The sequence below is a fragment of the Homo sapiens genome, chromosome 11, assembly GCF_000001405.40.
Source record: "Homo sapiens chromosome 11, GRCh38.p14 Primary Assembly".
Classification (NCBI taxonomy): Eukaryota; Metazoa; Chordata; class Mammalia; order Primates; family Hominidae; genus Homo; species Homo sapiens.
This window is the reverse complement of record NC_000011.10, coordinates 3,897,879-3,912,823: the sequence shown is the minus strand read 5'-3', so window position 1 is coordinate 3,912,823 and position 14,945 is coordinate 3,897,879. Positions and strand designations below refer to the sequence as shown.

At 43.7% G+C, this 14,945-nt stretch overlaps 1 protein-coding gene across 22 annotated transcripts in view, besides 2 other annotated features; it reads right to left on the bottom strand.

The window, feature by feature from the left end:
• STIM1 (stromal interaction molecule 1) overlaps nt 1-14,945 on the bottom strand; it is a 238,607-nt gene that overhangs the window by 180,387 nt on the left and 43,275 nt on the right. The gene's annotated exons all lie outside the window — the stretch shown is intronic.
• Nucleotides 8,951-9,245: an enhancer, noted in NCBI's record as "tiled region #4967; K562 Activating DNase matched - State 8:EnhW". NCBI's record gives its function as "activates a minimal TATA promoter and a strong SV40 promoter by Sharpr-MPRA in K562 cells {active_cell/tissue: K562}" and the evidence as "EXISTENCE:reporter gene assay evidence [ECO:0000049][PMID:27701403]".
• Nucleotides 8,951-9,245: a silencer, noted in NCBI's record as "tiled region #4967; HepG2 Repressive non-DNase unmatched - State 6:EnhF". NCBI's record gives its function as "represses a minimal TATA promoter and a strong SV40 promoter by Sharpr-MPRA in HepG2 cells {active_cell/tissue: HepG2}" and the evidence as "EXISTENCE:reporter gene assay evidence [ECO:0000049][PMID:27701403]".

Sequence of the window (14,945 nt, the reverse complement as noted above, 5' to 3'; positions counted from 1 at the left end):
AGTTGCAAAGGAAGCTGAGCAGCTATGCATCCTGCTAAAACTCAGGTGTTCTATCATTAAATAAAGAATGAGAGAGCCCACATTGGCAAAGGCATCTAAGAATCTCTTTCATATTACCTCAGTTTTTTTTATATTTTGTCTTATTAAACAAATGATTTGGCTGCACACGGTGGCTCACACCTGTAATCCCAACACTTTGGGAGGCCAAGGCGGGTGGATCACTTGAGGTCAGGAGTTCAAGAACAGCCTGGCCAACATGGCGAAACCCCATCTCTACTAAAAATACAAAAAATTAGTTGGACATCATGGTGGGTACCTGTAATCCCAGCTACTTGGGAGGCTGAGGTAGGAGAATCACTTGAATCTGGGAGGCGGAGGTTGCAGTGAGCTGAGATCGCACCATTGCACTACAGCCTGGGCACCAAAGTGAAACTCCGTCTCAAAAAAAAAAATTTATTCCCAAACCCAGCTATACTGAAGTTTGCAGTTATTGTTCAGTGAAACCTGATGGCTAGCTTGGAAAAAAAGAAAGAGAGAAGAGAGGGGAAGAGAGGGGAGGGGAGGGAAGGAGAGAAGGGAGGGGATAAGGGAGGGGAGGGGAGAAGGGAGGGGAGAAGGTAGGGGAGAAGGGAGGGGAGGGGAGAAAGGAGGAGAGGGGAGGGGAGAAGGGAGGGGAGGAGAGGGGATGGGAGGGGAGAAGGTTAGGGAGAAGGGAAAGGAGAAGGGAATGGAAGGACAGTTATGGATAGATGCCCCCTATTAGCCTCACTAGACTGAACAATACCAACAAAGCCTACTTATTTAACTTCTGTGACCAGTATTTATGGTGGAAATAAAAGTTGCTCTAAAAAATCAGTAAGTGCTATCTCTGTGCAATACTAGGCCAAGTGGTATAGAAAACAACAACAACAACAACAGCAAAGCAGTGTTTCTGTCTTTAAAAAACTTCCAATCTTGTGTGGCAATCACATACAAAGCAACCACAATGCAGCAAGATAACTGAGACATATAAAGTATGATAGGAGAGTAACAGTAGAATAGACTGCCTGCCTACAGGCAAGGAGGACAGAGAAAGCTTAAAAAGTGGTGACACTGGAGCTATGTACTAAAAGATGAGGAGTTTACTAGATAGAAAAGAGTAAGCAAGCCAGGGGTGGTGGCTCACACCCAACACTGTGGGAGGCCAAGACAGGAGGATCACTTGAACCCAGGAGTTTGAGAGCAGCTTGAGCAACAGAAGGAGACCCCGTCTCTACAAAAAAAATTTTAAAGTTAGCCGGGCATGGTGGTATATGCCTGTAGTCCGAGCTACTCAAGAGGGTTAGGTGGGAGGATCACTTGAGCTCAGGAGGTTGAGCTCTGCAGCCTGGGCAACAGAGTGAGACCCTGTCTCAAAAAAACAAAAACAATTTTAAAAAGATGGTAAGGAGACATTCCAAGCAAAATGGAAAACATGAATAATAGCATAGAAAAATGTTTGCTGAAAAGACAATATGCAGAACCCAGATCATAGAATGCCAGGAACACCAGATTGAGAAGCTTGGATTTTAGAATCTCTGAGAAATAGGAAAGCAATAGACTTCTGAGCAGAGGTGGGCCACAGTTAGATTGACTTGTTAGAAGATTCTGGCAGCCAACTGGAAGGATGGACAAGGACACATGCTTTGGAGTCTCATCCTTGCTGCTATGCCTAGTCCTATCCTTATCTCCCCAATGCTACCACTGATAAACCAAGCCCTTACAGAAGGAAGGCAAATCCAGGCCAAATCCCACAGACTCCAGCAGGATGAGACTTGTAGATTTGTTAGTTTGTTTTCAGTTTTCTTGTTTGTTTGTTTGTCTGTTTGTCTCGCTCTGTTGCCCAGGCTGGAGTGCGGTGGTGCGATCTCAGCTCATTGCAACCTTCGCCTCCTGGATTCAAGCGATTCTCCTGCCTCAGCCTCCTGAGTAGCTGGGATTATAGGCAGGCACCACCACGCCCGGATATTTTTTTTTTTTTTTTTTTAGTAGAGACAGGGGTTTCACCATGTTGGTCAGGCTGGTCTCGAACTCCTGATCTTGTAATCCGCCCACTTCGGCCTCCCAAAGTACTGGCATTACAGGCATGAGCCACCTCGCCCGGCCTGTTTTTAGTTTTAATCTTTTATTGAGGTGAAATTCATATAACATTCACCATTTTTAAGTGAACAATTCAGTGGTATTTAGTACATTTATAGTGTTGTGCATCCACAGAGGTTTTTAGTTCTAAATTTTTTTGTTTTAAGAGACAGGGTGTCGTATGTTGCCTAGGCTGGTCTTGAACTCCTAAACTCAAGCAATCTTCCCACCTCAGCTCCTGAGTAGCTGGGACTGCAAGCAGGTGCCACCATGCCCAGCTGGACCTTAGTTTTTGATGAGGTCCAGGAAAGCCTCTGCTTACTTCACTCAGGTCAGGTTTCATCCAGTCCTCTGGCATCTCTGCTCAGATGGATACGCCAGATACTTTTGGCTTTCAATAAACATCTGCCTAGAGTCCCTAAACTGCCATACTCTTTTCTAACCTTTCCTGACCTCAGCTCCCCTAGGAACACAGGTCATTATGACCAGGAGGAAATTTGACCATGTCTATCCCTTATTTTAAATTTTTCAGTGGTTCTGCATTGCCCAAAGAATATAGTCGCAAATCCTTAACAGATAGACAAGGCTCTCTATAATCTGGCATCTGCTTGTTTCCCTAGCCTTATCTCCTAAACATCTTGCCCTAAAATTCTTCCCTCTCATTATGCTTCCCTTCCTACTCATGGCTGCTCAAACATATTTTTTTCTTTCACCCTGGGAATGATTTTGTCACCTCATACACATTTCCCACAGACTTATCTCACCCTAGGGAAAGTTCTCATATTTTCATTATTTCCTCGGAACGGCTCTGATTCCAGTCTCATTTCCCTCTGGGTGCCATTCTAATCCATACCTCATTATTCACTCTTCTTTACATATGTTATTGACCATATAATACCACAAGATGACTTTTTTTTTCTTTTTTTTTTTTCTTTGAGATGGAGTCTCGCTCTGTCACCCAGGCTGGAGTGCAGTGCCAGGATCATGCCATTCTCCTGCCTCAGCCTCCCAAGTAGCTGGGATCACAGGCGCCCACCACCGCACCAGGCTAATTTTTTGTATTTTTAGTAGAGACGGAGTTTCACCGTGTTAGCCAGGATGGTCTCAATCTCCTGACCTCGTGATCCGCCCGCCTCAGCCTCTCAAAGTGCTGGGATTACAGGCGTGAGCCACTGCGCCCAGCCCCATAAGATGACTTTTTTTCCACCTCCTACTATTCTACTTCTGTCATATTACTGAGAATAGCCTTACTGAATATATCTGCTTCTGCTTCCTCTGCCTGGGTCTCTCATAAGCCCAGGACTTCACCAGGACCCTCACCCCAAAGTTACTGGTACCTGGGACTTAGGAGGGAGATATGTTATACCCATACCCCCAATCAGCTGGGGAGTTGGATCCAGACCTTATTCTCTCTCACCTTCTTTCTGACAGAATCCTTGAAATGACAAAGCTCTATTAGGACGGCACTTGAACCCACCCTCATTTTACCCTGGAGACATCACTGACCCCAGTTTCATCTTACTTTGAGATCAGCTCTGGCCTTGGCCTCCCCAGTCACCATACCAAAGAGAAAGTCATACCCCAGTATACCTTGGGAATGATTTGCACTCTGGCCTTGGCTGGCACTCAACTCAGGAAAGAAAAGTGACATGAAGCAACTGGCCCAAAGTAACACTAGTACTATCCCCAACTAGGGAAAGAAGGTCTTTCTCTGGGGTGGTAGGGGAGAAAAACTTCCAAATCATCATAAAACCCCCCTCACTTTCTGTGTATGCAAGCCAAATATGGGTCAAATGGTGCACAGGAAGAACTCACACAAAGGCCTTTTTCCAGGTGTATTTTAGGCTTCCAGGTATGTCACAGTCACAAATATCAGCTTGCTCCCAAGTGAGTGAATGAGCAATGTCCAGTTCAGGAAATTCAGACTTCGGCTTTCTTCTGGTTTCTAGGCTTGTGGTTTATAAACTCCATTCAGCAGCAAAGCAACAATATTTATAAGCCATAAGCCATCTTTCTATAACATTTTATTTGAGCTTGACAATGTATTAAGCAGAATAAACCTAGGCTTTAAACTTTCTAGCCATGCAATCTTGGCAAATAACTTTTTTTTTTTTTGAGATGGAGTCTCGCTCTGTCACCCAGCCTGGAGTGCAGTGGCTCGATCTCAGCTTACTGCAAGCTCCACCTCCCAGGTTCATGCCATTCTCCTGTCTCAGCCTCCCAGGTAGCTGGGACTACAGGCGCCCGCCACCACGCCCAGCTAATTTTTTGTGTTTTTAGTAGAGACAGGGTTTCACCGGGTTAGCCAGGATGGTCTCAATCTCCTGACCTCGTGATTCACCTGCCTTGGCCTCCCAAAGTGCTGGGATTACAGGCGTGAGCCGCCGTGCCTGGCCAGCAAATAACTTTCCCCATTCATAAAATGGGAATAATAGTAGTATCCTGCAAGACTGTTGTGCAGAAAAGTAAACAAATATATATAAAGCATCAAGAAATATACCAGGCCCAAAAAGGTTATTCAATCATTTGTTCATTCAGTCAACAAATATTTACTAAGTATATGCTATATGCACCAGTCAGTATTCTAGCACTGAGGATTTAGCCATTAACAAAAACCCCTGCTCTTATGGAACTAACAGGGAGTGGGGGTGCAAGGTGAAAGGCCTGACCAATAAATATGCCAGATGGTGATAAATGCTGTAATGAAAAATAGAGAAAGGGGTTGCAGTGTGTGGTGGGGGAGGGATTGCTATTTTTAAATAGAATGATTGGATAAGGCCTCACTGAGTTGAAATTTGACCAAAAGATCTGAAGGAAATAAGGCATGAGCCATGCAGAAAGTTAGAGTAAGAAGGAAGAACCAATGCAAAGGCCCTGAGGCAAGAGTATGTCTGTCTCTATTGTTCAAAGAATGGTAAGAAAGCCAGTGGGGCAGGGTGAGCAGGTGGAGAGGAAATGAGGCTAAGACAGTAACTGGGAGCCAAGTCATATGTGATCTTGTGGGCCACTCTAAGGGCTTTGGCTTTTTCCCTGAGAGATATGTAAAGCCACTGAACAATTTTGAACAGAAGAGTTATATAATTTGGATTTACGTTTTGAAAGGATCACTCCGGCTTCCTGTTTAGAATAAACTGTAGACAGGCAAGGGCAAAAGCAGGGCAATCAGTTAGGCTATTATCTCACCAGGCAAGAGACGATGGTAACGTGGATCAGGGTGGTAGGTGCAGAGGTAATGAAAAGTATCTGAATGTTGGATTTGTTTTAAAGGTAGAACCGACAGGATATGCTGACAGATTCCATGTAAGTGAAACTTGTTAAATTTAAAATGCCTATTAGATATCTAAAATGTTAATTAAGAGGTTAGATATGCAAGTCTAAAATTCAGGGAGAAATCTAAGCTGGAAACACAAATTTGAGTTGTCAATAAATAGATGATAGTTAAAATTATGTAAGTGGACTTTTAATGCCATGAGATATTCAATAAACAAAGCTCCCAGTGAATAGTAACTGCCATTATAACCCCGTTTTGTTCGTTTTTTCCCCCAGCTTCCCAAGCTTATAAACCCCTTTTTATTCTTAAGGTATTGGAGATAATTGCCAACTTCTAAACTTCAGTGCCCAACCTCTAACCCTGTCCCCACCCCTCAAGAAAAATTTGATTTTCTGATCTTGTATCCTTCTTTACTGTTGTCCTTCTTTTCAAATTTGCAATTAAAACATCAGATAAGTGAAGGCACGCTGGTGTTAAGTAGTAAAGGTACCAATTTTAGAGTTGGATTTAGGTTTGAATCTTCTCTCTCTCAGCCATTTACTAGTTCTGTGACCTTTTACCCTCAATTTTCTTATCTATACGATGGTACTAATAGTACCTATCTTAAAAGATTGTTATCTTATCGATGGTAAGACATCTACTTATTGCTTTATTCAACAAAAACTTACTGAGCATCCATTACATGCCTAGCACTGTGCTCAGCATTAGGGTTACAGCAGTGAACAGGCACTGGTACTATCCTCATGGAGCTTATAGCCTAAGGGACCATAGTATTTCTAAAGCACCTAGACAAAATTTAAATTTTTTTAAATCACCTAAATAAAATAAATATGTAAAGAACCTCACACAATGCCTAGCAAATAGTAGGTGCTAAGTGACAGTATATATTATTTTATAATTAAAACATCATAAGCCCTCACAGAACAATACGCTTTAGAATTGGCAAATCTTTGGAAATCAAAAGGTCCAATTTTCTCATTTAATAGAAGAGCAGATTAACTAGCTCCATAATAAACTTATTCAGGACACCTATTCAGTCAGGGCATATGCTAGCTGCTCAGGATACAAGGATGAGTAAAACACAGTCCCTACCTTACATCAAGTAAATATGCAAAGGGAGAATGACTCGCCTGAGGTAACCTAGTTCATCTCTTAGACTGGAAATCATGTCTTCTAATTCTCAGTGTTTTGCTCTTTCCACTGAATCAAAATTATTCAACTCAAATAAAAATACTTAGGAAGAAGCCTACCACTGTGCCAAAGAGAGTGCATCCTACAGCTCAGCAATTCCTCACGAGTAGTTTGTCAAAAAGGATAAGCCCCTCTGGGCCTGGAAGCTGATTCTTTTTTTCCTCTGTAACAGTCCATAGCACACAGCAGCTAGGGCCTCAGGGGCCCTGGTAAGAAGTTACAGAAAGATGCAGAAAAATAGAGTAAAAGCCTGAAACCACCAGAGCCACTGGTAAGTAAAGAAAAGGTAGAGCAAGGCCAGACCAAGACCCTCCTCCCTCATCCCAGATATTAAGTCATGTTCCCTCCAGGCTAGCACTAGCCCCAGAACTCTACCTTTGTCCCTCTAGGCCACCCACCCTGCCCCCTGCAAGGGCCCTCTTTAGAGTTTCAACATTAAGCTCCATTTAATGGAAAAAAAATAGCACTGGGAAGCAGAAAGAATACATCATGCAGTTCCAGAAACCTGGCTGAAACTGGCTCCACCACTAACTAGCTGAATGTTTCTTAACTCATCTGTTTCTGCATTTGGAAAATAGGGACAATACTCACTTCTGGGAACTGTGGTGAGCATCAGAGATGTGTCTAATGTATCTAGAAAAATGCCTGGCATGCAGCGGTTACTCAATAAATGGTGCAATGATTACTTATGAATGACAAGGTCTCCCTTGTCTGCCCCATGCTCTAGTGACCGCAGGCTTCAGCAGAGCAGCACAGTTTAAGACTCCCACAATAGTATGAAGTATTCAGGGAGATGTGGCACCTTCACTGGCTACATTTCTCAATCTCTTCTCCCCACAACCTATACCAGCTCAGGTCTCCACTCCACCCCTCCACCTTTAAAAAAAAAAAAAAATCTTTGAACCTGCCTCCTCTGCTGCCTCTTCAAAATACCACCCTCTTTCCTTCCTTCCCTCGCAACTATATTTCTCAAAAAAGTCTTTTGTTCTACATCTTTGCCTCATACTGACTCCCTAAGCCACAGCAGTCTAGCTTCTGTCCCCACCCCTCCACTGAAACTGCTGTCACCATGGTCACCAATGACTCAGTAGCCTCATTTCAGGCTCACCCTACCTGTTCTCTGCTGCAACAGACACTATTGCTTTCTTTTAGAAACTTTTCTCATTCCTGGCTTCCCAGACAGTACTTTCTCTTGCCTCTCTGATTGCCCCTCCTCAGGCTCCCTCCCTAACTTTTCTGTCCACACATATCAGAGTTCCTCTCTGCTCTATCCTTAACCCCCTTTCTTTCCCCATTTTATAAATTTTACTCAGGTGATCTCATCTACTTCTACAGTCTCTACTATTTCTTAGAGTTCATGATTCTCTCATGTCTATTCCTACCTCTCTCAGGAACTCCAAAACTCATGTCTTCTCCCCCAACTACCAGATATTTTCTCATGGATATCACCCATAACCATCTCAAGAGCAGCATTAACTTCCCCGGCTCTCTCTCTTGTATTCCATGTGTTAACAGCATCACAGTAATGCCCAGTCACCTAACACTGCCTCCTTCATCCTTCCGTCACACAATTTAAATCAACCCCCATGACCACTACCCTTGTTCCAGCCTCATCATCTGCTACTGCAAATCTTCTGGCTGCCTTCCCTGCCTCTAGTTATAATCTATACATTCTAAGCACAGGCATATAAGAGGTCTTCCTAAAAAAAACACTCTGGTCATGTCACACCCATCTTAAATATCGACGGTAAAGCTTAACTCCAATAGGATTTAAGCTCTTTACCATAAAATACAAGGTCATTCGGGATCTGGCCCTTCACACACACCCAGCTTCATCTCGTGCCACTCCCTCCAAGTAGTCCAACACTCCAGTTCAGGGAACAACTCGTCATTCACTGAATATGCCATGCACTTCCACAGTCACACTGCCCAGAATATGCTCCAGGGCACTCTGTCTGGCACAACCCTGGTCATCCTTACAGGGTGGCATCTTTGATATTGCTAAGTATTTAGACCCTCCTTCCTTTCTCTCCCAGTATATTTTCTTTTTTTTTTTTTTTTTTTTTTTGAGACAGAGTCTCACTCTGTCACCCAGGCTGGAGTACAGTGGAGCGATCTCGGCTCACTGCAACCTCTGCCTCCCGGGTTCAAGCAATTCTCCTGCCTCAGCCTCCTGTCTAGCTGAGATTACAGGCACATACCACCACACCCAGCTAATTTTTGTATTTTTAGTAGAGATGGGGTTTCACCATATTGGTCAGGCTGGTCTCGAACTGCTGACCTCGTGATCTACCCGCCTCAGCCTCCCAAAGTGCTGGGATTACAGGCGTGAGCCACCAAGCCCAGCCTTTCCCAGGACATTTTCTATGTACCTCTATTGTAGCACTTGTGACACTGTACAGAGTGCACTTGTTTATGGGTGTCTCAGTAACCTGCAGGTTGTTCATGGACACAGACTATGTCTTTCACATCTCTGCACCCCAACCCACTTGCCCAGCCTCTCAAGATAAGCAACCAGACTATCAGTCCTAACAGGGGATACTCCCCCTATAGCAGGAGAGCAAATTCTAATGACAACAGGAAGTCTCAATAGTTTCAACTTCCCCTCTTGCAAATGCTTCCAGATGGACTGACCCCACAAGAGCTATTTCCTACCTGGTTCCTGGGGCCCCTATGCCTGGTACAGCCTGTTCAATAGAAAGAGGAGAGCTTCCTTAAGGTTAAAATTCTTTGGAAAATGATTTCTAAAATGGGCTGAGCTGACAGGTAGGACTGCCAACTGACAGAGCCATCTCAGGAAGTAATTTGTGAAATAACTCCAAGACCTTTATACATCTTCCAAAGCAACTGGGATGGTTGCTACAACACCCTGTGGCTGGTCTTCTTGCCTTCCATCAAGGCTTGGGAAATTGCCCTGCATCACAATACTTACAAACAAGTTGCTTCACTAGGCAGAAATCTATAATGACTTCTCATTGCTTAAAACTGTAAACCAGAGTGATTAGGAACAAGCACACTGAAAACATATTACCTGGGCCCGAATCCCACCTCTACCACTTATTAGCCATGTGAGTTTGGGCAAATTATTTCAGTTCTCTAGGCCTCAGTTTTCCCATCTTTAAAACAGTAAAATAATAGTACCTACTTTCATAGGGTTGGTACAAAGATTAAATAAGCTAATCTGAATAAACTACTAATAAAAATTAAATAAGCTTAGCATTAAAAATGCAAAGAATAGTACCTGGCACATGGTAAGAACTTAATAAATTATATATAAACATGTTCAGGTTCCAAGTCCCTCTGTCATTCATAGCCTGAGATATGAAATGTTGCCCTGTCCCATTTCACATTCCATAATCCACCAGCTCCCTTCTGACGATCATTTATGATCCTTTGCCTCTATCCACAACACCAATTGCAATCTGCCCAGCTCCTCCTTCTGGCAATGCTACCTTCAGCTGGCCAGAAATTAACGCCTTCAGCAGTCTCACAGGTGGTGTCATGCCTAAGAGCAGTACAGGATACCACCTTCTCCTGAGCATTCTATTCCCTATGCCAAGGGTCCCCAACCCTCAGGCTGCAGACTGTACCAGTCCGTGCCTTGTTAGGAACCAGGCCACACAGCAGGAGGTGAGCGGCAGGCAAGCGAGCATTACTGCCTGAGCTCCGCCTCCTGTCATATCAGTGGCAGCATTAGGTTCTCACAGGAGTGCAAAGCCTATTGTGAACTGCACATGCGAGGAATCTAGGTTGCGTGCTCCTTATGAGAATCTAATGCCTGATGATCTGAAGTGAAACAGTTTCATCCCAAAATCATCCCCACCCCGCACCCTGGTCTGTGGAAAAATTATCTTGCATGAAACCGATCCCTGGTGCCAAAAAGATTGGGGATCGCTGCTCTCTGCTCACTCCTATTTTCACTCAGGTCATTTTCCAATCTAAATGCCTCCCAAGCTTCTGCAGTATATAAACTTAAACAGAGTTTTAGGGATTAGTTAAGTCACACCATCCCAGGAAGCTACAGTAACTCATAAAAATATCTGCCTTCCCTTAACCTCTAAAGTCCCAATGTGTAACTTATACTTCCACACTCATATCTAATCATCTCTATTAGATTAAGTTCCATGAGGCAGTGTCTGGTTTTCCATCACTACATCTCCATTACCCAAGAACAATAAATGTTTAAGAAATGTTGGGGGCCAGCCACATTGGCTCATGCCTGTAATCCCAGCACTTTGGGGGACCAAGGCAGGAAGATTGCTTGAGCTCACGAGTTCGAGACCAGCCTGGGCAATATGGCAAAACCCCGTCTCTACAAAAAATACAAAAATTAGCTGGGCATCGTGGCACGTGCCTGTAGTTTCAGCTACTCAGGAGACTGGAGCCTGGGGCAGGAGGATCACCTGAGCCCAGGAAGTCAAGGGTGCAGTGAGCTGTGGCTGCACTGCTGGAGTGTACTCCAGCCTGGGCAACAGAGCGAGATGCTATCTCAAAAGAAAAAAATGAAGAAGGCTTAGGCAAACAATAAAAGCTCAGTTAGCTAAATCTCCTACCACTGAGTCTGAGACATAACCAGGGACTGGTGGATTAACCAAGATCTATACCTTTCTACAACAACAACATGGAGAAAACTATATCAGCAATCTCATAGAGCTATTGTGAACACAAAGATGTAATCTATGTTAAACACTTAGGAGATTTTCTGACACATAAGCTGTCATTAAGTATCTCATTTTCTCTTTGAAAAGGAGCCATGGAGGTACCTTGTCAACTAAAGGACAGCTGGCCATACTACTTCTCCAAGTCATACTAATAGAAAAGCAGGGGACCACACTGTGTTCATTTACCTAATGGTGTTCTGTGGAACACTGGTATCTAACAAAATGTCAATAGGTGGTTTTTGAGGATAAAAAAAGATTACATGTTCAGAAAAACATAGAAAACCCTGTATACCTTTCCTTATCATATTAAAGCCTCCTAGCTTTTCCTAACTTAATCTCAAAGGTCTTTTACTGAGTAATAATAATAATGCCATTTCACCTGATACTGACATTCTGAAGAACACTTATTTTATTTATTTTTTTGAGGCTGAGTCTCTCTCTGTCGCCCAGGCTGGAGTGCAGTGGTGTGACTGCAGCCTCCGCCTCCTGGGTTCAAGCAATTCTCCTGCCTCAACCTCCAGAGCAGATGGGACTACAAGCGCACACCACCATGCCCGGCTAATTTTTGTATTTTTAATAGAGACAGGGTTTCGCCATGTTGGCCAGGCTAGTCTTGAACTCCTGACCTCAAGTGATCCGACTGCCTCAGCCTCCCAAAGTGCTGGGATTACAGGTGTGAGCCACCGTGCCTAGCCACTACACTCATTATATCTTAAAACAATGCATTGGGCCAGCCACAGTGGCTCATGCCTGTAATCCCAACACTTTGGGAAGCCAAGGTGGGAAGACTGCTTGAGTCCAGGAGTTCAAGACCAGCTTAGGCAACAGAGTGAGAACCCATCTCTACAAAAAATATATTAGCCAGGCATGGCGGGGTGTGCCTGTAGTCCCAGATACTTGGGAGGCTGAGGTGGGAGGATCATTTGTGCCCAGAAGGCTGCAGTGAGCTGTGATCGCAAACCTGCACTCTAGCCTGGGCAATAGAGGGAAAGACTCTGTCTCAAAAAACAAACAAACAGGTCGGGAGCCAAGATGGCCGAATAGGAACAGCTCTGGCCTACAGCTCCCAGCATGAGCGCTGCAGAAGATGGTGATTTCTGCATTTCCATGTGAGGTACCGGGTTCATCTCACTGGGGAGTGCCAGACAGTGGGTGCAGGACAGTGGGTGCGGCGCACCGTGCACGAGCCGAAGCAGGGCGAGGCATTGCCTCACTCGGGAAGTGCAAGGGGTCAGGGAGTTCCCTTTCCTAGTCAAAGAAAGGGACGACAGACGGCACCTGGAAAATCGGGTCACTCCCACCCCAATACTGCGCTTTTCCCACGGGCTTAAAAAACAGCGCACCAGGAGATTGTATCCCGCACCTGGCTCGGAGGGTCATACGCCCAGGGAGTCTTGCTGATTGCTAGCACAGCAGTCTGAGATCAAACTGCAAGGCAGCAGTGAGGCTGGGGGAGGGTCGTCTGCCATTGCCCAGGCTTGCTTAGGCAGAGGTACAAGGAGGAACTGGTACCATTCCTTCTGAAACTATTCCAATCAATAGAAAAAGAGGGAATCCTCCCTAACTCAATTTATGAGGCCAGCATCATCCTGATACCAAAGCTGGGCAGAGACACAACCAAAAAAGAGAATTTTAGACCAATATCCTTGATGAACATTGATGCAAAAATCCTCAATAAAATACTGGCAAACCGAATCCAGTAGCACATCAAAAAGCTTATCCACCATGATCAAGTGGGCTTCATCCCTGGGATGCAAGGCTGGTTCAATATACACAAATCAATAAATGTAATCCAGCATATAAACAGAGCCAAAGACAAAAACCACATGATTATCTCAATAGATGCAGAAAAGGCCTTTGACAAAATTCAACAACGCTTCATGCTAAAAACTCTCAATAAATTAGGTATTGATGGGATGTATCTCAAAATAATAAGAGCTATCTATGACAAACCCACAGCCAATATCATACTGAATGGACAAAAACTGGAAGCATTCCCTTTGAAAACTGGCACAAGACAGGGATGCCCTCTCTCACCACTCCTATTCAACATAGTGTTGGAAGTTCTGGCCAGGGCAATTAGGCAGGAGAAGGAAATAAAGGGTATTCGATTAGGAAAAGAGGAAGTCAAATTGTCCCTGTTTGCAGATGACATGATTGTATATCTAGAAAACCCCATTGTCTCAGCCCAAAATCTCCTTAAGCTGATAAGCAACTTCAGCAAACTCTCAGGATACAAAATCAATGTACAAAAATCACAAGCATTCTTATACACCAATAACAGACAAACAGAGAGCCAAATCATGAGTGAACTCCCATTCACAATTGCTTCAAAGAGAGTAAAATACCTAGGAATCCAACTTACAAGGGATGTGAAGGACCTCTTCAAGGAGAACTACAAACCACTGCTCAGTGAAATAAAAGAGGATACAAACAAATGGAAGAACATTCCATGCTCATGGGTAGGAAGAATCAATATCGTGAAAATGGCCATGCTGCCCAAGGTAATTTATAGATTCAATGCCATCCCCATCAAACTACCAATGACTTTCTTCACAGAATTGGAAAAAACTACTTTAAAGTTCATGTGGAACCAAAAAAGAGCCCACATCGCCAAGTCAGTCCTAAGCCAAAAGAACAAAGCTGGAGGCATCACGCTACCTGACTTCAAACTATACTACAAAGCTACAGTAACCAAAACAGCATGGTACTGGTACCAAAACAGAGATATAGATCAATGGAACAGAACAGAGCCCTCAGAAATAACGCCGCATATCTACAACTATCTGATCTTTGACAAACCTGAGAAAAACAAGCAATGGGGAAAGGATTCCCTATTTAATAAATGGTGCTGGGAAAACTGGCTAGCCATATGTAGAAAGCTGAAACTGGATCCCTTCCTTACACCTTATACAAAAATTAATTCAACATGGATTAAAGACTTAAACGTTAGACCTAAAATCATAAAAACCCTAGAAGAAAACCTAGGCATTACCATTCAGGACATAGGCATGGGCAAGGACTTCATGTCTAAAACACCAAAAGCAATGGCAACAAAAGCCAAAATTGACAAATGGGATCTAATTAAACTAAAGAGCTTCTGCACAGCAAAAGAAACTACCATCAGAGTGAACAGGCAACTGACAAAATGGGAGAAAATTTTCACAACCTACTCATCTGACAAAGGGCTAATATCCAGAATCTACAATGAACTCAAACAAATTTACAAGAAAAAAACAAACAACCCCCATCAAAAAGTGGGCAAAGGACATGAACAGACACTTCTCAAAAGAAGACATTTATGCAGCCAAAAGACACATGAAAAAATGCTCACCATCACTGGCCATCAGAGAAATGCAAATCAAAACCACAATGAGATACCATCTCACACCAGTTAGAATGGCAATCATTAAAAAGTCAGGAAACAACAGGTGCTGGAGAGGATGTGGAGAAATAGGAACACTCTTACACTGTTGGTGGGACTATAAACTAGTTCAACCATTGTGGAAGTCAGTGTGGCGATTCCTCAAGGATCTAGAACTAGAAATACCATTTGACCCAGCCATCCCATTACTGGGTATAACCCAAAGGACTATAAATCATGCTGCTATAAAGACACATGCACACGTATGTTTATTGCGGCATTATTCACAACAGCAAAGACTTGGAACCAACCCAAATGTCCAACAATGGTAGACTGGACTAAGAAAATGTGGCACATATAC